This window comes from Homo sapiens, chromosome 6 (genome assembly GCF_000001405.40).
Source record: "Homo sapiens chromosome 6, GRCh38.p14 Primary Assembly".
Lineage (NCBI taxonomy): Eukaryota > Metazoa > Chordata > Mammalia > Primates > Hominidae > Homo > Homo sapiens.
The window spans coordinates 13,029,933-13,055,998 of record NC_000006.12 but is presented as its reverse complement, the minus strand read 5'-3'; the positions used below and the strand labels follow the sequence as shown (position 1 = coordinate 13,055,998).

The following is a 26,066-nucleotide window of genomic DNA, read 5'->3' as shown; positions in this document are numbered from 1 at the left end:
AACAAAACTGCATACAAATATCACATTCAGCTGCCACGTTAATCAATCTGGCCACAGAGGTCACAAGAACTTGCTATGATCATTAATGACAAGAATGATTTAAGGTTAGCAACTCTGCTTGTCACATGTTTCCATTCTTTCTCCCATATGAGCTTAAAACAAAATTTTTGAAGACGTTTAATAATTCATGAGTAATCTGATGCCATTGCATCTGCACCTATCAGGTGATATGTTTTCCAATGTCTTGAAGACGTTGGCATAATCGGTCATGTGAGAAGCCTCAGGGCTTTGCCTTGTGGCCTTGTCAAATGAACTAAACAAAGCCCTTGACTTGCCAGGAGGAAATGCATCCATCACTCCATCATTCAGAGATTCATGGTGACAAATGACAATTACCGAAATGTGTGTACAAACTATTTTGCTTAGCAAAGTCAGGAAGAGACCTCATGGCATCTTTGTTTTATATATATATATTTTTTTCAATGCTTACAAAACACTCCCATTTTCTTTCTTGTTTCAGTGTCTTACATCTTACTTTGCTTAAAGAATATATTTCACTTAGATTTCTTCTCTCTGAGACAATGACCTAAGTACCCTTTTCTGTCTCAGTGGAGGATACACATTTGGAGTTTTGCTCACTTGTAAATCACTCAGTTGTTTTTAAGGATGCACAAATGACCTACAGGTTTTGCGACACCTTAAGGAACCAGCACGATGACTGAGAGAGTGGAGAATGCAGAGTCAGAGTGGTGGGACTTATATGGGTAATGATTTAGAAATTTATGAAATTCAGAGATTCATTCTTATCTCAGGAATTAACAAATATAACATCAGGATGGTGGGGCTTCCATCTAAGAAACAGAGTCAGAAAACATGGCTATCATGAGAATTAAGATTTCAAGACTCTGCAGATTTTCTATGTTATTCTCTTTCTTTCCCAAAAGTGATTAGCATTAAGATTCTCAGATCTGTGGACTGATATTCAGGTACAAGAAGCACATCTCCTATTTCAAGGTTAGTTTAGGGGTGAGGCAAAGAGGCAGGAAACCCAAGAAATGGAAGAGGTGATGATTCTGAGCAGGCGAGAAGGCAGGTTGAGTTTTTGAGGATGTAGAGGGAAGAAGGAAATGAAAACCTTGGGGTAGCCCTGGCAATGACTGGACACGTGATTAGAAAAATCAAAACAAAGTGCCATGGACTTAGTTGTGTCCCTCCCAAATTCATATGTTGCAACCCTCACTCCCCATGTGCTGGTATTTGGAGAAAGGGGACTTTGGGAGGTGATTAGGATTAGATGAGGTCATGCAGGTAGGGCACTCATGATGGAATTAGTGTCTTTATAAGGAGAGACTCTCAACAGTCTGCTCACACTCGCTTACGTACATGCTCTCTCTGTGCACACAAAAATGAAGAGGTGATGTGAGTGTACAGCAAGATGGCTGCCGCCTACAAGCCAAGAGAAGAGGCCTCAGAAGAAAACCTATCTTGTCAGCAACTTGATCTAGGACTTCCAGCCTCCAGAACTGTGAGAAACACATTTCTGTTGTTTAAGCCACCCAGTCTACAGTATTTTGTTATGGCAGCCCAAACAGACCAAAACCAAAGGGAATCTGTATAGCTCTTCCACTGTCTGATCACAGACCCAATGGGGTGAAGTCAAAACTCTGTGTCTTTCCCTGTAGCACATTTCCCTCTGCACACCCTTACTTATTTAAAAAATATCCACCTAAGATGCCATACAAACTCTCCACAAATATTAACTCATGTAAGGTATTATTCTTACTTCTATTTTACAGACGAGGAAGCTGAGGCACAGCATTAATAAACTGAGCAAGATCATATAACCAGCAAGTATCAGATTTGGGATTCAAATCCAGGAAGTGTGGCTCCAGGATCTGTGCTCTTAACCCCTCAGCTGTGCTGATTTCCCCCACATTTCTTTGCTGTCCATTGAGCCACAAACCGTACAGTTATCTTTGCCACTACAATGATTCATTTGTATTCTTTGTTTTCCTGCTATGTCCAAGAATCACTTATTCAAGGTTTTTCCTCCATGAAATAACCTATTCTTATCTGCCAGTAACCATATAACTTGTTTTCTGCTATGTGTTCACTTTTACTGGAATAGTGAAAATAACAATGAATATAATAAACGCATCATCAACGCCAGAATGAAAGCATTCAATTATAGAAAAGGCAGAGGTCTAAATTCAGATTATTCGTAGATCAAATTAAAAGGGTGGTTCTTTAGTTTAAAAACAAACAAAAAATCATGAGATAGGAGAAAACACATAGGATATAAAAGTCATTCTTGATCATACTGAAAAAATTTTAAAGACAAGAGCCATTCCAAGGCTTGATATTTTTTCTCCTTTGGTTCAAACAGCCTATTGCAATTAAATTCTGTTAAGATAATAGAGTTGAAGGCAACAAACACCAAATGGGAAATGAAAGAACAAATCATCTTACCTGCTGACGTGTGTTTGAACTTTTCGCTTTTCTTCTTCCTCCATTTCCAAGGCTTGAAAATCCTTCCCAGGTTGGCAAACTTACTTCTCCTGCGGATGGGTGGGGTGTGGGTGCCTGGGACGAGGGAGTCAGAACGCATCGCCGCCAGCCTCTCCACTTCCTCAGCTTGTTATTTCCAAGAAAGAGATGAAAACAAAGAGAGAAAAAAAGTGTTAAAATGGGAGCCTCACAGATGGCCAACGTTTTCCATGGTTACAGATAACAGAAACCACGTGACTAGAGTTTCTCTTTGCCTTTTGGAATGGAAGTCACACCAGTGTGTTCTGAAGGCTGAGGACAGTTGGCCAACCCCTAGAGATTCAAAACATCCCAACCAAATTTGCTCAACTTCTATTTAGGCTGGAGGAGGAAGAGAAAGAGGAGGAGAGCTCTCTGGACAAGTCAGGGACTACCGCCCAAAACAGGGAGAGGCCACCAGAAGATTCAAATGAGAGTCAGTGTAACTACTGGTCCGGCAATTTCTCAAATAAGACTTGGCAGACGCAATCACTACAGCACTGTCTACTGAGAAAAAAGAAGGGAGAAAACATTTATCAACTGTCTATTCCAAAGCCAACGTCTCCAATACCCACTGCTGTCTACTTCCTACTACCTGGCTTTACCTAGACCTTCAGCAGCACTGAAATCTGTTAAGCAAGTGACTGTACTTTAGGATTACTGATCGATTTTGGAGTCACTCACACTTCCATTAGAATTTACAATTGTCTTAATTCCACTAGTTTTTCTTTTCCTGGAGTCTTGCTTAAAAAAAAAATTCTTAGAAATTGAGAGCTGGGGGTATCTTTAGGGAAAATCTATGCTAATCCCAATAATAGAACACTTGAGCATATTCAACTTTCAATCTCATAATGCCTAGTGGACCCTTCCTTAAAGGCCACAATCATCCCAACCTCTTTTTACCACATGAAATAAAACAAACTCTTTTCCATATTTACAGATTCCAATACCCCAACTTGAATTTTTAAGAAAGGAATAATCAGAGAAACTAAGCTCTTTGGCAAAATTGAGAGCATGGAAGGAATTCAACTTCCCAGAAAGCAAAATGATATCTGAAGCCATGGCAAATCCCAAACCACTTTGTTCCCTCAAAAAATTCATCCAGACTTCTGCAACCTATGCATTCCTTGCAAGTTCAACCTGCCAATGACCATATAAAAATGATAGTCAGCTTGTTGTGGTCTGAACATAGTTTTAACTCAGGAGATCCATTCATTAAATACATATGGAATTCTGAGTGTGTGCTGTGGCAGTTGTATTGGTGACAGATGTGATAAGCTAGTAAGAGCTCCCCACAGCAGGACTGAAAGAAAGTAGATGGAATTGAGAGACACGTCAGAAGTAAAGTCAAAAGAACTTAGTGACTGATTGAGTGACCAGAAGGACTGGAGGCAGATCATTGGCAATTCCAAGATTCAGGTCAGCAGAGTGGTACCCTTCATTCATAGAGATAAGGAAGACAGGCGAGGACACAGGTTTAGGGGTGAGGGCAGTGATGATTTGGACATGCTGCAATGAACAGGGCACTTAAACCTTTACTACCTGGTTCAGTGCACTGGGAGCTCCTCTTTTCAATCATTTGATTAAGTGGCCACTTAAATCTCTGCCAGATACTATGATCATTTCTGGGGAAGACACACAGGAAAACTGGCCTTGAGCACAGAGTCCCAAGGAGGAGACAGAGAGATCAGTGTGTAAGAACATACCACAACAGAGCTACAATATAAAACTCAATGTAAGTGAAGAGGAGAGAGCAACTAATTCTGCTTCACAGCATTGGAGAAGACCTCGAGGGAGGTCACTTTGGGCTTAAGTTTTGAAAGAGAAGGGGCTGTTCTCCTGGCAAGGGGAAGAGGGAGAAGCGGATCCCTGGGAGGAGAAACAGACCCAACAGGAATAGAGAGGGCTGAAGGCATGGAACATCTAGGGACTTCAAGGAACTCAGTCAACTGTGAGCCTCAGTGACGTTAGGTGAGATGAAGCACTAGTGGAGAGAGACAGGGGTTGGAGGGTCTGGAACCAGATCATGTAAGCTCTTGAAATGAATTGGCATTTGGGGTTCATCCTCTGAGCAGAGGGACAAGGAAAATTTGAAAATGGGAAACTGGTATTATCACATTCAACCAAAATGTATTGTATGCCCACTCTGTACCAGATGCTTAGGCTATGACGGTAAACAAAACAAATAAAAATACCAACTCATAGAGCTCACATGCAGAGGTAGGGTGAAGGGCAGACAGCAAACACTGAAACCAAATAAATTATAGAGTATGCCAGAAGATACTTGCTTTGGGGAAAAAAATAATGAGTGGAACCTGGTAAAATAGATCAAGAGTACTTTGGGTAGAATGGGGGGGTCGGCCTGATCGAGAAGGTACGTGATCAGGATGCAATTAGATTTGTTTCTTAGGAATATCTTTGCAGCAGCAAAGGTAACCTGACTCGGAATATGGGGAAATCCTTGACAGCGAGAACAATCAGGAGGACACTGCAATCACAGTAACTAGGATTCAAGCAGGGGCATGACAGAAGGATAGGAAGAAAAGATGGGATTCAGCCAGGTGGGAGAATCAGCAGATTTGGTAACTCTCTGGATAAACATGAGAAAGTACCAGGAAGCAAGAATGGCTAACATTTTTAGTTTTCATGACTAGGTCAATGTGATGATTTTACATGTTTTAAAGAATTTGATGATAAAGGAAGAAGCAGAATAGGATGGCAGCTCAATGGGGACAAGAACTTTGCAGCCAGATAATTCAGTATTTTTGCAAAGGCTTTTTAGGGGTTAGAACTTTATTTCCTGAGGTAATGAAGAACTATTGAGAGGAAATTTGCCAAGGTAGGAAGGAGAGACTTGATTTGGGGGTCAGTAGGCTGAGCTGCCAGAGCCAGGGGAAAGTGAGAGATCGAAGATGTAGAAAAAATGCTGAGAAATGTATGAAACATGGTTCTTAGGAAGGCGAAGAAGTGGGATCAAAAATGCACAAAAGTATTACTGATCAGGAGATTTTATGCTGAGTGATTGAAAGTTTGAACTGAGGTCTCTGATCACAAATGGCATAGATCAGATGTGGGCCTCAGGGAGATTAATTTCGCAGCAGTGGTAAAATAACAGATTACTGGAGGCTAAAGGAGGAAGATAAAAGATTCAGAAGGTTTTAAGTACGGGTTGTGGAATGGCTGAAGAGAGTGGTAACAATAACAACAACACAGCTACGACAAGGAATAAAAAAAGAAATCAAATCAGGCAAGTAAATAGCCTCAGAAGTAACACTGAATTTGAGCATTCTGCTTTTTAAAAGGCATCAGCTGCTTGAATTGGTGCTTCTTCAACAATGTCAGCAGAGCCACACAAGTAGTAATAATTGTGGGAAACCACAGCAAAGAGGTGCTGAGTCCAGGAGAGAAGCAAAGTCACCATAGTCCAGAGGTCTGATTCTCACAGGTCACTTCCTCTTTCATACTCATCACTTTCCCCTCATTCCTTACCTTGGTGTATAGTCTTGTTGCTTTTGTCCACATTTTACAAGTCTCCAAACCTATATTCCCAGACTTACTCTCCTGCCTTCAAACCTGTATTGGATACTTTTACTAGAAGCCTGTTCCTTGTAGGAACTGCAGGTGGCTCCCCACAGCATACAGTAGGAAGTTCTAATTTCCTGTACTGGCCTTCAGACAAGGCCAAGAATCACTTATTCAAGTTTTTTCCTCCATGAAATAACCTATTTTTTATATTAAAACAACCTGACTTATTACTCTCAACCTGAGTAAGCTGCTCAGAATGATCTTCTAGTACTTCTCTAAACACGTGTTATAGCCAAAATGAAATACTCCTGGTAGAAGCACTCATCCCGGGATCTCTGGATCCTAGTGGGCTTCAAGGGGATGGGTATCTGCATTTGGTTGGAAGATTTCCTATCATTCTTTGATTCTCAAAACAGCCTAAGACACAAAAGTGAAGTTTTTAAAATATTCAGTTTGAGAATTCTCTGAGTTCAGCCAACATCAAACATCTGCTACAGGTTAAAGAGAAATTATATACAGAATCCTTTAAAAAATCAAGATAGTAATTATTCAGGGTTGATACTGAGTTTGCTTCTCATAGTTGGCACTCAATAATGACTTACTGAGTAGATAACTGGGTAACTGCATTTGATTCAGTTCATTTGCTCACATCTTCAGAGGTATGAAAATATGTATCGTTACTTGTCTTAAAAAAAAAAGTGCCATGAGAACCGAAACGCTTTTCCATAATCACATCTTTAAGAAATGGATACAAATTATTCTGAAATTGCCCCATTAAAATAATGATATGAAATTAGAAGTGCCTTTGAAAAACCAAGAGTGGCAAGGAACACAGGGTATTATAAAGGTATAATTATAACTCAATAGTTAAATGAATCCTTAATAAGTATTATTATGAAATTCATGATGTTTAGCTCTTAAATTCAGTAGATTATTGAGCAGACTGGATCACATTAGGTTTAGCTGATTTATATTTTAATCACCCCATTACATTTTTCTCCAATTAATTTGATGATGGGGCTAGCTTTGCCATCAGATAATGATATTGGAAGGCTTAAGTGTGAGGATGGCTCAAGAGTGAGCCAACTTATGAACACAGTTTGAAAAGGAAGGGAAGGCTTGGTGCGGTGGCTCACGCCTATAATCCCAGCACTTTGGGAGGCCAAGGCAGGTGGATCACCTGAGGTCAGGAGTTCAAGACCAGCCTGGCCAACATGGTGAAACCCTGTCTCTACTAAAAACAGAAAAATAAGCTGGGTGTGGTGGCATGTGCCTGTAATCCCAGCTACTGAGGCTGAGGCAGGAGAACTGCTTGAACCCAGGAGGCAGAGGTTGCGGTGAGCTAAGATTGCACCATTACACTCCAGCATAGGTGACAAAAGTGAAACTCCATCACACACACACACACACACACACACACACACAAAGAAATGGAAACCAAAAAACAGGTCTCAGGATAAAGTGGTCTCCCATTGCAGGAACCAGAGAAAGAAAGGGATGAAGGCAAGTGGGAGAGCAGGGCGTGGCCTGCCATGTTTTGGAATCACAAACAGCCTTTTTTGGAAATGGAGCATGTAAAGACAGCTTCACTTTGGCCTGCTCAAAGGTGGCTACCTCATGCTGTCTGGAGAAAATGCTGAGCCACACATGAATCAGCTTGAATGTCAACTGCCAGGACTGAGCATGTTGAATCAAAACGTTGGAAGCTGGGCAGCTGAGCTCCTTCAGAAGGCTGAAGTGAGGAGAGAGCCATGGGCAAGCAAACTCCTGGGGTCTTTCCTGCTCTACCATCCAAGAGAACACTCTTTGAAGGACCACACAGTTTGGGCTCCCACTTATGACAAAACTGGGTTTTGTTTTACCCATAGGGTGGAAATGATTGGGAGATGATTTTTCTTTCTCCTTAGACAGGCCAGAAAGAAAATATTTGATGTATGCATGATTTTAATGACAAGAACCAAAGTACCTAGGCCAGATGGTGTTCTGAACCCCAGCCCTGGTGGCAACCTGGGATTACTCTTGGTGGGCTCCTAGGGCATGCAGCGGGAGGAGCTGGGCCGGGGCTCGGGGCGCTCCTCAGGTACACCATATTTCTCATGGTGGTTTGGCTTTCAAAAGGCTTGTGCAAAGATGGCATCACCTTGGCTTTCTGCTGGCCTAGAAAGTGCTCGTCATACAGTATCCCAGGGAGCAGCCTGGAATGAAGGAAGCATGGTGTCTGTGCCATCTGATGTCTAGTCAGAGTCAGCACCAGAGGCAGGAGGGCAGCCCATTTGGGACCCCAGTGGAGATCTCCCCATGTGCTAAATGCTCCTAGGGTTTTTGGAGGACCTAAGATTCTCATAAATTGGATTCTTGTTTCTTAACCCTAAGTGAACTCAATAACAGAACGTTTATGTTGCAGGATCTGATAACCTTCGCTTTTGCTTGTAATTAGAAGGGGTTATATACCTCCCTTATTTCACCACCCTAGGAATGGGAACCAAAGATCAGAGTGGAGGTAAGGTAGGCTGTCAGCTCACTACGCTGAAGCAGCAGCACTGCCTTTTTTTTTTTTTTTTTTTTTTTTTGAGACAGGGTTTTGCTCTGTCACCCAGGCTGGAGTGCAGTGACATGATCTCAGTTCACTGCAACCTCCACCTCCCAGGTTCAAGCCATTCTCATGCCTCAGCCTCCTGAGTAGCTGGGACAACAGGCGTGCACTACCACACTCGGCTAATTTTTGTATTTTTAGCAGAGACAAGGTTTCACCATGTTGTCCAGGCTGGTCTTGAACTCCTGGCCTCATGTGATCCGCCCACCTTGGCCTCCCAAAGTGCTGGGACTACAGGTGTGAGCCTCCACGGCCAGCCTGCGCTGCCTTTTCCTGCCCTGCAAAATGACGCCACACAGGTGCCCAGCCATTCAGAAAGGTCCCTTTTATAAATGTACTGTCACTTTCAGAGCTACCTTATCATAAATAAATGAAGGGTTGATATGAATTATCAGGCATATGAGGACACTATTTTTCCTTTTTCATTCTAGAATAAGTCATGCCATACACTTATAGAGGCTGGATCTCTTGGAAGAGTTTCTGACAACCTAGAATTGATTAACTAGAAGATTTTTTGTTGTTGTTTTTTGATTTTTTTTTTTTTTAAAGAGTAAAACATGTTTATTCTAAAAATCCAGAGTGCCTACCTGGTTTCATTAGGAATGGGATGGGGACGTAAAGTGGGGAGTGGATGGGACAAAGATTGGGCATTAAAGAGGGAAAATGATGGGGACAACAGAGACTCTTTTAGCACAGAGAGGTTGCCTGGTTAAAGGAAAAATATACACCATGAAGGAGCTGGGAGATAAATCAACAAGGCCATGTTGTCCAAGAGCTATTAAACACAGACACGATGCCTGAGAGAGTACTCATGTTAACATCGGTGAGTACGAGGATCACTGACCTTCACTGCCCTCACTTCCTTCTTTCAGGCTCTTCTGCGCCTCTGTGCACCACCCTCCTCCACCCCATCCCTTAGCATCCAGTCAAAGAGGGATCCAATTTATGTATTAGCACCAAGCTGTGGACACTGATACTGGCTGAGCATATGGTAATGAGACAGCAACATTTAACTAAGGCTTTATCTGTCTGAATCCAAAAACTGGATGACTTGAGTAATGCAAGTCCCGGTGGGGATGGGTAGGAGGAGGGAGCTCTGGTGCTCCTCAGCTGCTTGGACACACAGGTGGCTATCTTTCTACCTAGGAACCATCAGAGGAAACGCCACTTACATTCCACACAAAACAACACCCACACCCCAGATGCAACCATTACGCCACATCATGACATCTGGCAGTCTTCCCCACTACATCTCTGGAGGGAGAGGTCAATGTTTACATTGAGAGAGTTGCTTATCAATCTTATTGCTTGCAAGAATGGTAGTCCTCATGGGGGAAGAATCAATAGTGTGTGCATGCCTATATGACAGAGTCCTGTGGTCTGGGAGTGGTGGAGAAAGGAGGGAGGCTCCATATACCTGGACCCAAACTTCTCAGCAGATTTGCTCAGGCTCTTGGCCAACTTCCTCCTTTGTCTCTGGCTTCTACAGAGTTCTGCCTGGTAAAGGCAGCTCTCCCCACTGCCGGAGGCAAGTTCCTAGGGATGCTTTCATCATAGGTGTACTGCTGCCTCCTGCACTGTGGACAGGCAGAGCTGCCCTTTAGTGGCCCCCTGGGAAAACACTGTGCTGACATACAATGCGGGGAGATGGGAAGGAAGGAAAACTCAGGGATCCATAGGTCCAAAGATGGCCCATGTTTCTGTTAATTTGCTCCTGAAGCATGAATTGACAGCCAAGAATACAAGAACATCCATAAATCCTGGTGCCCTAAGATGTACTAATTTTAAAGAAAGCAAGAGGGTGGCTCTACTGGTTTTGGAATCGTAGGCCACTGTATCAGAAAGAGGCCACATGACTAATGCGGTTTATGGGACTCTGCGTTTCCTCCTAAAAGGAGGGGGGATTGTAAACGGTACAGTGTTTCCTTAGGTATCGGTGCTGATGACTATTATGACGGTAAAGATGATCATTGATGATGACGATGATGATGACAGCATCCATAACAGCTAACATTTTTCAGTCACTAAGTCTATTCCAGACACTGATCTAAGCACTTAAAATGTGTTACCTTATATAATCCTCAAATTAAACTTGTGAGCGAGGGCTATATATTATCCCCATTTTAGAGCTGGAGAAATTGAGAAGGGACTAATGAATAGGAAAAAGTGATTCTCGAAAGAAGAGAAACACATGCTTTTAATTAAGACATGCCTATTTGCAAGAATGTCTCCTCAATGTGTGAGAGTCTGGCTTTTTGAATCTTTGTATTACTCACTAAAGTCATAGGAGGGCTTCAGGGATGAGGGAGGAAATGAGCTGCTTTTTTGAAAAGGCTGCAAAACAGATGCCAATTATAAATTGATCCTACTGTAGCAAGGGAAAAGAGGAGCTGTCTTACCATAAAATGTCATATAATATAGATGTACACCTGTCTGTAGGTGCCCTGGCGAATACCCGCCCTAGATCACTAGGACAAGAAGAACCGGTAGGACATTATCTGCTAAGGACCTGTGCTCAAGCTACAATTACGAACTCAGCGGGTGTCAGTCAGGCCTGGAATAGGCTCAGATATGCTTCACTTAGAAAATGCTAACCATCGTGTATAGGGGAAAAATATTACGAAACTAGGAGGATGTGGGTCCAGATCCGGAATCTACCACCTAATAGCTGCTGGTGGAGGTGAGTTCTTTCTGGCCCCCACCAGGTGGCAAGGGCTTCCTCATTCTCCTCTGGAGAGTCACTCCTCCTCTCCTCGCACTCTGGGTGGTTCAGGAAGTTCATCTCCGTCCTGACGCCAGAGGTGGGCATGTGACCCAGTGCTGGCCAATCAGAGCATTGCATCTCCACCCTCCACCCACAGTAATTAATTCAGGGATGAGTCATTGAGCTTGGCCAGGCAATGAGACTCAATGCTGGAATTTGTTGGAACTACTGATAAACATGCTCTTTCAACTGGGATTGCAGATTACATAGGCTCTAAGCCTAATCAAAGTAGGGGTCACAAACTAAAACATCTTCATTTAGCCTTGGTTAATATTAAAAGAATTTCCAGGTCACAATGATGATTCATAAGCGTTGAGAAGAAACGATCCTATTATGTCAAATACTTCATATTTCCTAAGAACTGTGTTAGAAGGATGAAGATACTTCTATTCCATGAACACAGGGCAATGAAGAGAGCACATTGTGAACAGACCAGACAGGTAGGGAGGAAAGTTCCTATTTAAATTTAAAATTATAAAATTTTAAATATTTAAATTTAAAATTATACAGGTTCTATATTGTTAGACTTATTGAGCTAATAGATGTTATTATCAAAATTCTTCCTTAGATATTCAGTACAAAATTCTTGTTTTATCTCCCAGGAATGTATCCTTCAACCACTAACACATATAATGACTACAAAAACTTATAAAACATTCTGTTGTTCATTTAATCTATAGAATACATTTGTGTTGGCAACAGAACTTATTTAAATTGTAAATAAACTCCCAAGTCTTGTGTTAATCCAAAGCAACAATCTTTAAATAACGTAGACCCTTTTTTCATCTTAAATCTTTAGACCCTAGGGTCTGATATTCTTCTTGCAGTTAAATAAATAGTGCCTTTTACAGACTCAAATCCCACCTCAACAAAGCCTGGTTTCCCCTGCAGGGGTAAGCAAACTCTTTCTGTTAAGCCAAATAGTAAGTACTTTAGGCTTTATGGACCATATAGAGTCTGTTGAAGTACTCTACTCTGCTGATGCACTGTAAAAGCAGCAGTAGACTAATATGCCCAAATGGGCATGTCTGTATTCCAATAAAACTTTATTTATAAAAACAAGCATCTGGCCTGCATGGCCATAGCTTGTTAACCCTTGTCCTATAGAGCTGTGGATAATCTTTCAGCCTCCCCAGCGCCACCCCCCACCCGCCTTTTTTTTTTGAGATGTAATCTCACTTTGTCACCCAGGCTGGAGTTCAGTGGCTCTATCTCCGTTCACTGCAACCTCCACCTCCCAGGTTCAAGCGGTTCTTGTGCCTCCACCTCCCAAGTAGCTGGGATTACAGGTGCACACCACCACGCCCAGCTAATTTCTGTATTTTTAGTAGAGACAGGGTTTTGCCATGTTGGCCAGGCTGGTCTCGCACCCCTGACCTCAAGTGATCCACCCACCTCGGCCTCTCAAAGTGCTGGGATTACAGGCGTGAGCCACCATGCCCAGCCCTTTCAGCCACTTTAATGGCAGAGGCTGCCTGAGAATTGAGCCACAACAGAGACAAAGAGAACAGAGATGACTCAATGAAACTGAAACCTCATTACATCACTTGGTCTTCTGGATCCAGCCCTGCCTGAAACCACTATAACCCTGAATATTTTCCTTACACGAAGTAATAAATTCTCTTTTTTACTTACACTAGGTTGAGTGGGGTTCTCTTTTACTTGCAACTAAAAGGGTTCTAACAAATTCACTGTGTGACCTTAGGAAAGTCCCATCGGCTTCCTCTCTGTAAAATGGGGATAATACAGACTTATAAAGATAAATAGGCATATACTAAAAGCATTCTTTTGGGGCACAGAACATGGGCTCAGCTAAAGTTATCTAAAAGTGAAAAGTCTCCTCTGGTATCAGCTTATTACCACCTGGCTAATAAGCGTTCCACTAGGGGTGAAATTCGTTACCATGTCACCACTAGAATATCCCTTAAGGACTTACATGAATTTAAACAGTTTTGGAGGCTCTCAACTGTGCTGTCTCTTCAGACTAGTGGATCTCAAAATTTAGTGCATATAAGAATCAACTGAAGTACCTGTTAAGAATTTTAATCCATCTCAGACCTACTGAACCAGGAATATGAATGCATAAATAAGCAGCCCAGGTAACTTTGACGGCAGTGTTCTGAGAATCACTCTTTTGAGGCCTGCAGTATTCCTAATGAACCCTAGGATCCTACTCCCTTCTTCCCAACTATATCCATTGCCTTCAGGTGGCTGGCTAAGAAGAAAGATCCTTAGTGTAGAAAATTCCATCATACTTCAGTGCTGCCTGCCAGTCCCTAAAACGTGAAATCACTGGGAATAATTTTAAAATGCCTAATGTTCATGTAGTGCTTTATTCTAAGTGCTTTTAGATCTATTATCTCATTAGATCTTCACAACACCCCCATTATGTAGGTGGGGTATAACATTTCATTTGTTTCTCTATATATGACTATGGTACTATTTTCTCAAAGAATCGAATTACAATTTAGCCTTTTAATGGCTCTGAGAAGGTCTACAATAAACCTTTTAAACTCTGTTGAACCCTTTATTTTCCAAACTTAATTTAATCACAAATATGGTTGGATAGTGTTTTTTTGTGGGACACCATTAAGGTCTTATAGACTTGTGTTCCATGAAACACAATTTATCAAATGTTGAGTATCGTTTTGTACCATTCTATAGTTAAAGGAACCGAGACACAGAGGAGTCAAGGGATTTGCCTAGAATGTGGCAACTCACACAAAGTTGCCGTGGTCCAGGACTGAGTCTAGAGACGTATCATCACACATCTTTTCCTGTGGATGGTTTGAGGATGCTCAAGACCAGGCAGTGCAGGCTTTTTGATTCAACCTTTGCAAAATCTTTCCCTCCATTAATACTGTCAAGGTTAATACACTCCTGGACATTTTTTCTCTCTTGAACTCATTCCAAAATCTCATGATAACAGCCACTCTGTTACCTATTAAGTGTAGGATGATAGAGAACCTGATGAAACTTTACATTCCATTTGAGAATCACTTCTTGAGTCTACTTCCTTTTAAGCTCAGATTTCTCATTTTCTCTCTCTGATGACATTACCCTGTTTCCTTATGTAGCTCCCATTACCTCCCAGGTGAGTTTTTCAGTGCCATTTATCATTTGTTTAGTGACGAGGTGAAATCCAAATAGTACTGCTGAAGTGAGTATTTTTGCAAGGGTGTTGATCCTTGCTAAAACATTCTTCTCTTCTGTGTGTGTGTGTGTGTGTGTGTGTGTGTGTGTGTGTGTGTATGTATTTTAATTACCACCAGTGGCTCTAACTTGGACTTGTTTTGATTATTACTCAGAAAGTAAGGAACCCTGCTCATATCTTTGTCAAGACTTTCACAAGGAATTCTTAATTTTCCTTGTCTCAGAACACAGAAATTGACTTCCATTAGTCTTTTTTCAGAGGTAAATGTCGTATTATTTTTGTCCTGTTAATTCCTTTGGGGACTTTTTATTATTCTTCTGCATGAAAGATGTTAAATTTTTAAAGAGGTCTCAACAGAGAAAGTCACCTGTTAATTTTGCCACATAGGAAGCTCTGAATTCACATTTGATTTAGTGTTTATTTTTAAATTATTATTTTCCTTAAGTTCTTTCTTCCAAATGTCTGGATATAATGACCTCAGAGCCTAGAATTGGGACTTTGAACATCAGGTTTAAGTGCATTTAATCATGACTTGCTGTGTAACCACAGGCAAGTTAATCGGCCTCTCAAAACTACATTTCCTTAACTACAAAAAATGGGAATAGCAATATCTAGCTCTCTGATTGCATATACAACCATTATATTAATACATGGAAACTCTAGTATAATAAGTGGCATTTTGTGGGTGCTCATTAAAGATTTCCTGACTCCAAATTTAGAGTGTTGATTGCTTATAACCGTTTCAGTCTGTATACACTCTTGATTTTACTTGAATCTCACACGAGGGTGGTGGCTGGTGGGCAGGGTCCTGTGTCTCAGCTGGAGGGTAAGTGAAAGAGCAGCTAATGACTATCCAATAAGACTCATCAATGAAACTAACCAAGCCACACCAGATCTCAGTGGGAATTTTCCCCAAGTTGAATTGTTGGCTACAATTTGGGCTTATCATCTGTCAAATATGTTTTCCTGCATTACTTGCAATATGGTTTTTTAATGTATATAGTATCTTTTTAGTTTTCCTTTAGGACACATAATGAAACTCATCTTAACTAAATTAGCTCTATTTGTGCTTGTTCCTTTTTCCCTTTCCAAAATTTAAGCATTAAATTATAAGGCAACAGGTCAAGGAAAGAAAAAAGGGCAGGCACAAGAAATAGAGAAATAGAGAAATAGGCTGATGTCAAGGGTCCTGCTCTCAGCCCTGCCCTTCAGGACCTTTTGGGAAATACTAAGGCCCATGAGTGCAGGAGGTTATGATGTATTGATGTGGCAAAAAATAGTTAAGCATTTAGTGTACATACATCTCAAATTATGAGGGTAGGGATTTTGAAGAAAGAGAAGAGGAAATTTCTGCTCTTTAAAATCCTAAGATGCAAAGTACTGTGCAAAGGAAAACATTATCTTATTTTTAGAGGAATTAACATATAAAGCATGTATATAATGAAAGATAATAGAAACTGCCCTGTGTGGTGAAATAATCTTAAAGGTCATTATTTAATGCAAAAGCATCATCTGTTTCTGGGGTCAAGCTCAAAAGTTAAAAAGATTATCAGTATTCACAGATAATTCCTGACTACCCCAGATTTATTTTAATAGGAAAAGAAACTTCATTTACTTTTATCCATGCCTGGGAATCTCTACGCACAATAAGTAGCTACAGTTTCCAGAGTGCCCTGCTATCTTTGCATTCTGTTTCTTAATGATCATTTCAATTGGTTTCTGAATTAAAGAGCCATTCTCTTAAAAACAGTCACCACAAGGGACCTTGGTCTGGCATCCTTGTTATGTTGCAAGTCAGAATTGTGAGGACCAGGTGGGTTAATGACATGAGCTGCAATCCCCACAAATAATTCTTCTACTTTATCTACCAGAAAAACTCAGGAGAGTGCCTGAGTTCAGCAGAGAGTAGGCAATTATTGATGGGAACTTTACTGCAGAGCTAATCAAATATCAATCTTGGCTGTCCTGAAATTGATTCTGAAGGCAAAGAAAGGCTTTGTCACTGAAATGCAAGATTTGCAGAAAAAAATTCTCTCTTATCAATCCACATTTCCTGCTTTAGACCCTACAAATAGAAAATATTTTTGAAGGTTTTCTCACTGAAAACATATTTAAGTGATTACTGTGTGCAAGAGGAGTAAATGGTCATCCTCACAGCAACTATCTGAATAGTGTTCTATCATTTATCAAACACTTGCCTAGTTATTATATCATTTGATCCCTACAACAAACCAATAAGAAAGGTGAAGTGAATATTTTAAATCTTATTTTACAAAAGAGCAAATTGACAATGGCAGAGAAAACTGGCCGCCTGCCAAATCCATTCTTCTATTTAGTGAATACATCTTGATTTTTTGCCCTACTAAAAGAATGTTTCCCAGCCTCCTCTGAGGGTAGGTGTGGCCTATTATAGCTTTTACCAATGAGATATGAACTAAAGTGTTCCAAGTGACTTCTTGGAAATCTGCTTAAAGATAAGAGATATGCCATTTCTTTGGTTTGCTTTTCCCTTCATCCAGTTTTCTAGATCAGAGAAGTGATGACTGGAACATGGCAGGCACTGTGAGGACAAGGGCCACTTCATAGTAATAATGGAGTTGTAAGCTAGGAGGCATCTTGGTCTTTAAGAACTTTCTGGAGCCATCAGACATAGCAGCCTTAAACTGACCGCCTCTGTGCTTCTTTTATATGAGAGAAAAATTCATCCCTATCTTATGTTAGTTATTACTATTTTAAGTTGGTTTTATGCAGCTGAACCTAATCCTAATGCAAAGAAGTAACTTGCCTGACTTTATACAAACTCTATAGTTTGTAAGTGGCAGAACATCAAGTGCTAACATGCATGTCCATATTTCACACTCTGTCTCTGGCAGAATTTCAGAACCTTTTATAAGCTGCTTTTTAGTTTGTAAAGGAGCCAAGTCCTTCCTTTTTTTTTTTTTTTTTTTAAACACTTGAACACTCATGCAAAAGTAGCTGATCCCCAGGGAGGCTTCCTCCCTTTCCTCTTCCTCTAGAGTACTTTTGTACCTCTCAGGCTTTGAGTTAAATTATGGAATTTCCCATGGTTCAGTTCTCCCTAGACCATTTCATTTGTACCTATGGCTCTAACTACCATTGATAATCTTAATATTTTTAAATTTATATTTCCAGCCCAGAAGGCTCTTCTCATTGACACAGTTCTTACTAGCTGTGTAACACCAGCCAAGTTTTTAACTTCTCTGGGTCTTAAGTTACCACATCTGAAATATGGGGATAATAACAGCATCTGCTTCATGGGTTATTGTGAGAATTATATTATTTCATACAAAATAATATTTGGAAAAATATCTGAATTACTACTAGTCTCATCATGACTCTGCATCTCCAAATAACATTTCATAGGCACCTCATCTTCACTTTATCTAAAGTGAGTTATTCTTACCCTTAACTGGATCATTCTTCAGTAATGGCAATGCCAGTGATGTAATTGCTCAGAGAGAAACCAACGAGTTGTCCTTGATACCACCTTTTCCCTTATGGCCACCAGCTCTAACTCATCATCAAAACTGGTCAAAGGTAACTCTTAACTATTTGCCAACTCTTCCCACTTCTCTCTTCATGTAGACCAGTTATCCATATCATCAGTTTCTGTGTTCTGACTTTTGTTACTTGCCCTCAAGTCTTCCACACAGCAGCCAGGAACATCTCTTCTAAAGATGAATCAAAGCATGCCATGGTTCCTCTATGAATCCCCCAATGGGTCCTCCTTGCTCTTAACGCCCTGGAGTCTGCCCATCAGCTTAGAAGGACATGTTCTGTCCCATCTCCAATCACTCACTGGCTCCAATTCTACTCCTCACTCTAGTCTTCAAACACAAGAAACCCATCATTTCTGCCTCAAGGCCATTCGGTCTGCCTGGCTAATTAATTAGCCAGTCACTGATGCATGCTAGTTTCCTCTGTAAAAGACAATGCTGCACCCTTATCTGTCCATCTTCCTTTTTAATATAACCCAGACTGTGCTCCAACACTTAGCTTCTTCACCAGACCATGAGCTTCCTAGAGGTTGATCCCACCCAAGCTCTAGTGGGTGGATCTCTGGTTAGGGATTGGTTAACAGGTAGGTTAATGGGGAGTTTGGGGGGGTGCCTGTAGGTAGTGAGGCTTCTAAGAATGGCTTTCTCACACTTAGAGAGAGATACCTATTCTGTATCTCTAAGTCCTACTTCTGCCTCTGATCACTATGGTGTCAGGATGTGAGGCCTGAACTATTGTAGCCACCTTGCAACTGGCCTGAGGATAGAGTCCTGAAGCAAAGGTGGGCAGAGCAGAGAATCATGGGGTAATCAGGCCTGGAGCCTGCCTCATTGATACATTTGCTATATAAGATAATAAATGACCTTACTTTTTGGGCCAAGATGCAGGAGAACTTCTGTGACAGCAGCCAAAATCATCCTAATTGATATGACCCTACCCTCCATGTTTGCTATGGAGGGCAAGGACCGTTTATGACACATAGGAAGTAACCAGTGATTATTTTTTGAATGGATAAATGAATGAATGTTTCTCAGAGAAAGGATAGGCTCTGGTTTCAGTATGTATATTTCCCATCTCCTGGAATATTCATGGTTAGGACAAACCACTGTAGTTAAGATTTATCCTTTATTTACTTACAGGCAGAGCCATGGCTGGAGGTAGGGCTGTGGAATAAGAGACAGCATCTACCTCCAAACCACAGGTAAGAAATACCATGTGGAGAATTTTCTCGCATGACAGGGTAAGATTAGAGGCTACCACGTTTCCTTAGAAATTTGTCTTGGTTGTAAGTTTATCTCGAGTTTGAACTGAGGCTGTTGTTTCAAGGTGACCATTGGCTTTTCACATGAGTTTGTCCCATATGCCACAAGAGGATTTGCTAATTTTGGTCATATTTGACATATTATTGAAGAGTGACATCACAACTTAAGCTCTATTTGTATTTAATACTGTAAAAAGATAATGACCCCTATGTTCAACCATGACAGATTGATTAAATGAACAACCATTTAATGCGTGTCTATGCAGCCATTAAAAATTATAAACAGCTCTCATTATTGACATGAAAAATTGCTATAGTTTGTTGCTTAGTTTTGCCAAATATTATGTATAATTCTATTTTTCTACAAGAATGGCTTACTTGCCTATCTTCATATCTATTTATGCATAGGGATAGGATTTGGAAGAAGAAACTCAGCTGACAGTGGTTCTATTTGGGTGATAAAGTTATAGACAATTTTAAGCTTCTCTATAATTTTCTTTTCTTCAGTCTTTTTTTTTTTGGAATGCGGGGGTGGATTTAATCCCATCACTGTCAGCGACTAGCCATATGCTAAGCCTCAGTAGCCACCTTTGTATAATAGAGAAAATATGAGAACCTATCTCTTAAATTGCTATGCGAAATGAATATATGTAAACATTTAGCAATGGAGTTAGCATGTGGTAGGCACTAATATTAGCTATATGAAAAGTATATATCATCATTGTAATATAAATATTACGTTTGTGTTTAAGCCTAACAAATCTACAGATGGTACTTAGTGGAAGTTGTGGTTGAATGTGCAGGGCATAAAGGAATGACTGATGACCTTGAATGTGACCTTTCCTCCCCAAGGCTATCACTGACGTATGTGCAATGCAGCATGTAAAAGCATGGCTTCAGCATGGAGAGTCATGAGTCCCATGACCTAAGGCAAATTTTGTCACTTTACAATGAGAATAATAATAGTTTCTTCATAGGGCTCTTGTATTTCAAAAGATAATGTACTTAAATACTGAACACAGTTCGTGGACATGGTTAAGTGCCCAGCAAATATTAGTATTATAATTCATCATAAAATAATACTTTAAGTATAATAAATTTTGCCTTGACATTCCACTAGTTTTATTTTTACCTAGAGAATTGCTTGCATTTTAAAATAAGGTTGTAGGAATTATTTAAACAGAAACTAGAACAATGCAGTAAAATGGGTTGTTAGGTTTAAAAAAAAATCATATAGAACTTTTCTGGAATATTTATATTTTGAAAAGATAAACCCCTACCTAAAAAATGGGAGGGGGGAATAAGGAGATTCTGAGAGGAGGGTATATAATAAAATAAGTTCAGGCTTAATTGGATGCCAAATTCATTTTTATCTGTTAGGATTTAATTTATGTGAAAATGGCAGTCTAATGAAAAATGGAAGTATTTATAGATTAATAACAACAGAGCCCATTAGCTGGTGTAATAAGACATATCTATGATTAATTTTTGTCTAGGGAATATAAAATAATTTGGGTTTTAATCTTATAGCTAAATTGACTAACAAAGCCAAGAGTAACTCAAATACATTCACAATATTATCATGCCAGGCACAAAGCAAACACCCCATGAATACTTTGAAGGCTTTAAGGCATTTATTTAAATAGAAATTGCCTGAGATCTGGTGTAGATCCACTAAGCAGAAAGAAATTAGACAACATGAAGTCAATATTTTCATAGGTCTTCTAACAGCATTTGATATTTGTTGAACTATCCTTCAAGAAACATTGAAAGTAATTTATCTATTTCCTGGCTTTTCACTACCAGAAAAGGACTTTTTCTGTGTGCCATTTATACTGCCTCAAATGCAAATACAATTGTTCACTTTGATACTTATAAAAATTAGTTGCATCTACAGGATTGAGCTGGTTCAAGAAAGATTCAATTCAGGAAGACGAGGCAGGCTAAGGAAATCTTTATTTGCAAATATAGAAGCCATAGTCAGAAAATTTAAGTCTGGCAAACAAGTCCTCTCTATAACACTCAGATAACAACCCAGCCCCAACCCTAATACCAGTAACAGGAATTTTTCTTTTAATTATCTGCAGAACTCAGCCACATGTCCACTGGGGGAGAAACAGTAGCTTTTCATCTTGAGCTCTTTCTCAGCTCTCTAAGAGAGTAATAACTGAACCTCCAAGATAAAATATGAGAGGAAGTGGTTTGGAGGGGAAAAATCTATATTAAGTACTTTAACAAAAGGTTTCTCCAACAAACTGCGTTTTATGAATTTAATTCAACAACCATTTATTGAGCATCTGCTCTGTGTGCAGCTTTGTGCATTAGAAAAAGAAAAGTCCTGGCCGGGCGTGGTGGCTCACGCCTGTAATCCCAGCACTTTGGGAGGCCGAGGCGGGCGGATCACGAGGTCAGGAGATCGAGATCATCCTGGCTAACACGGTGAAACTCCGTCTCTACTAAAAATACAAAAAATTAGCCAGGCGTGGTGGCGGGCGCCTGTAGTCCCAGCTACTCGGGAGGCTGAGGCAGGAGAATGGCGTGAACCCCAGGGGGCGGAGCCTGCAGTGAGCCGAGATCGCGCCACTGCACTCCAAGCATGGGCGACAGCGAGATTCCGTCTCAAAAAAAAAAAAGAAAAAAGAAAAAGTCCTGTCCTTCACAAGTACTCAAAATATTGTGGGACACACACTCATCTATTGGCTTAGACAAGACAACAATTTCAGATTTTCTTGAAGATAAGTTCATACGGAGGTTTTAAAATTATTTCTTAGGACCATTTTGCTTTATTATATTTGGTGTAAAGTATGAACAATTTTATTAAAAGTCATAAACTAGTTCTTTGTTTAGGGCACTCTATGGGACAGGAAGAAAGTAAGTCAGTTCTATCTTTATAGCACTGAGAAAGTTCTTTTCTAGAATAGTTCATACTATAAAAGTTGAAACAACTTTTATGCCAGCAGCCATGTTTGCATGAATTAAGCTTCAAAATTCTGACAGATTGAATCAATCCTGTATATAGCATTTTCCTTTCTGGTTCTCAGGCTGACCAGCTAGGATAAACGGCTTGAAATAAACAGCATTATACAGTTGCCTTAAATTCTTTTTTCTTTATCTAATTGCCAATAACTGCTAAGTATGGCTGTTTACCGAAGGAATCAATGATATAATGGTGCATTTTAACAGAGCATGGCCATATAAGACAACTTGTCCATAAAACAGGCAGTAATACTCTCATGTATAATAGTATGATGATAACCTGGTAGCTAGAATATGACAAGTGTATGCAGTCATTGCACAGTGAAAATGAAAAGTCACTTCAAACAGATGCATGTCTACAGTTTGGTTAGGGCTGGAAACAGGTACAGAGGGGAAAATAGTCTCATTTCATTCTTCCAAATCATAGCCCTGCCAAAAAGCAATGAGAAGAATTTTGTTGACATTAAAAATCTAAAGTTTAAATAAGAGAGTTTAAAGGCAATTTTGTGTAATTCCTAATTTTGGGGGGTCTGGCTGGCGTATTCTTCCTAGAGTTGCCTCCTTATATATGTAGTTGCAAGTTAGGATGAATGCCTTAGCACTCTGGAAAAACAATGAAATCATAAGAGTGGGGAAAGAGAAGTCACGTTCATTTTTACGACTTTCAGAAATAGAGGCAGAACTTTTTTTAATTTTACAAAATCGAGACTTCCTCTAACGGGAAATTTTGACCAAAACTAAAAATAACAACATAAAAGAATAACAAAACATCTCTCATATCACTGGGCACAGTAGCTCATACCGGTAATCCCAGCACTTTGGGAGGCCATGGTGAGTGGATTGTGTGAGTTCAAGACCAACCTGGGTAACATGGTGAGACCCTGTCTCTATAAAAAATAAAAATTAGGCAGGGCATGGTGGTTGCATGCCTATAGTCCTCGTGAGGCCGAGGCGGGAGGATCACCTAAGCTCAGAGTTCAAGGCTGCAGTGAGCTATGTTCGTGCCACTGCATTCCAGCCTGGCAACAGAGCTAGACCCCATGTCAAAAAAAAAAAAATCTTTCATAACATCTTCCATATTCTCAAACAATAAAAATTTTATGACAAAGTAAATATCGCATAAATATATAAGGCACAGGGATATCCTGTATGCACAAATAAAAAGAATCTAGAAAACACTGCTGTAAACATAGCAACAATAGGATTTATTCTACTGCATAATCATAATCATGAGCCCTCACAAGGACTAAGGGCTCAAAGCTAACAGATGCTTTGTCATTTGTTTATATAGGTCTTCTGCTACAGTAAAATGCTATAAAATAAAGTGGAGAAGAGAATAAAAGCACATTATTACATATAAACAGACTCTGAATAAAATAAATAAGCTGAACTTAACGTTTTAGGATAGCCAACATTTAAAATACTATGGGCCACAATTATTTTTCAAGGTACTGATATTCAGTATATAATGTGTCTCTTTAACAAATGGTAAATATAGAATAGACTAAGGAATGAGTTGGCAAAATTATTCACAGGCTATATAATATCTGAAATATATCTCCATGGGTAATTATTCTGCAGCATTAGGTAACATATTATATTCTAGAATTGCTTTTCCTGATGCTGAAATTTGGGTGTTTCATTACACTAGTAAATTCCATAAGGGTCAGAATAGTGATACAGAAAACTACATATGTTCTTACTGTAAATATTTTCAAGATAATTTAAATACTGACATCTTTCTCCACATCCTCTGTAAGTGACCATCTTAATACAGGTTAAACAGACATTTACATTTAGCACTTGGTGTCAATCCAGTAAGAAATGCAAACTTTGATTTCATTTTTCTTACTACTATTGTATTCCTTGGGCAAAGGTGAGTCAAAAAGAAAAGTGGCAATTTTTAATACTTGTTTTAAAGACATGAGTAATGTCAATCTTATTTTACAAATTAAATGCATCCTAAAAATAAATGAACTTGTTTCAGGGAATATAGCCAATGTGCCAGAATTTACCTGGAAAGGTGTCCTGCTAGACAGGTAGAACAATACCCCCCTCATGCACCTAAAAAGTCATCCCTTCCCAGCCACATGTAATGTGGCATATTACTAAAAACAATCAATGACCATGCTTTCATATGAGAAGAATCAGATCAAAAAATTGTATCACCCCTCATCTTAAAGTTTTAATAGAATTCGTTTCAATTAAACTAGTGGTAGACTTACATCACTCTTGGGATATAACCACATTCAATGTTGCTAACCAGTATGAAGTACATCAACTATTTGTCTAAGCAAAATTCACAAAGTCTAAAAGTGAATGGTGGCACAATAAACATATTCCAACTAAGTATTCCAGCTAAGTCCTAAAATAGACAAACACTGCATAGGGATGGTCACTCTATTTTCAAATTGAAAAAAATATCAGAATACATGGGGTTCCAATTACATTAGATCAGTGGGGCAGAATACCTAAAATTAAGACTATCCTGAGAAATCAGGCATATATTCCAATATGAATAAGTTATTATTGCTTGGATATGTTGGGACATAATGTCTCCAGGCACTGTTAAACATCAATCTACATCAGTGGTTCTGGACCAGGGGTAATCTTGCCTCCCATGAGACATTTGGCCAAATATCTGGGAATATTTTTGATTGTCACCACTGGGGTGGGGTGGGGGACATCTGCTACTGGCATCTAGTGAGTGGAGGCCAGGATACTGCTGAACATCCTGCAATGCACCAGACAGTCTTCCATAGTAAAGAATGATCTGGCCCAAAATGTCAATAGTGCTCAGGCTAATAAATCCTGCTGTCTGTATCCTCTGAACACATGATCCTAAAGAAACTAGACCTAGTTGAGTGAGTTCTGCTTTCACCTCTTCTATACATTACTGAATGATCATTGTCTCAGCACGTGAATGAGTGTTTGTAATGAGTATTCTCAAGGTGTAGAACAGAAACTATTCTTCAGTACCAACAGACAGCTGTTTCACATGTGTGATTTATCTTGTTTCAGCTATAATACAAACAGATCATTTTGAAAAGCAAATGCCTTGACTGGCTTTAACATTCCTAGTTTATGAGCAATGGATTCTACTTCAGGGAATCCCTAATTAACAAAGCCAAGCAATTAATTGATTCCAAACGTGAAAAACTAAACCGTTTATGTACACTGAATGCTAAAATCTCCCCCATCAGATTTCCTATTTAATTGAAATTCCACAAGACTTCTAAGTAATTTTTTTATGTTCTGCATTTTAATACTTTATTTTTCAACATCTTCTCTTCCTCCCCGTTAGCTATAATATATTGAGTGCTAAGTGACAGGAAACTCTGTGTAAGTTTCTTCACATGAATTTTATACTTATAACAATCCTCATTGGTAGGAACTACAGATATTTTCCTTATTATCCTTCAAACTCAAGAAATCTAGAGAAAACAAGTGCAAATAAAACGTCTGTTGCACTCACAAGCATGAATTCAGTGTGAATGCGTTTAATACAATGAAAATAAAGAAGGAAAAAAGGCCAGGAGTATAAAAATAATACTTGTAACCACAATAACAATAAAAGCCACCATTTATTCAGCACTTACTATATGCTAGGGTCAGTGCCAAGCACTTCACATTATCTCACTTAATCCTACCACCAACTCTAAACGTGGATGCTATCAGATTCACCATTTTACAGATGCAGAAACTGAGGCTTAGTCTGAGAAGGTCGCACAACTAGCAAGTGGCACAT

At 39.7% G+C, this 26,066-nt stretch overlaps 1 protein-coding gene across 20 annotated transcripts in view; it reads right to left on the bottom strand.

The window, feature by feature from the left end:
* The window catches only part of PHACTR1 (phosphatase and actin regulator 1), a 571,071-nt gene that overhangs the window by 231,839 nt on the left and 313,166 nt on the right, over nt 1-26,066 (bottom strand). For all 20 annotated transcript variants that reach the window (XM_005248934.4, NM_030948.6, XM_047418373.1 and 17 more), the window contains one exon: nt 2,470-2,634. In XM_005248934.4, the coding sequence (XP_005248991.1) occupies nt 2,470-2,634 (165 nt within the window). The remainder of the gene's footprint in view (nt 1-2,469; nt 2,635-26,066) is intronic.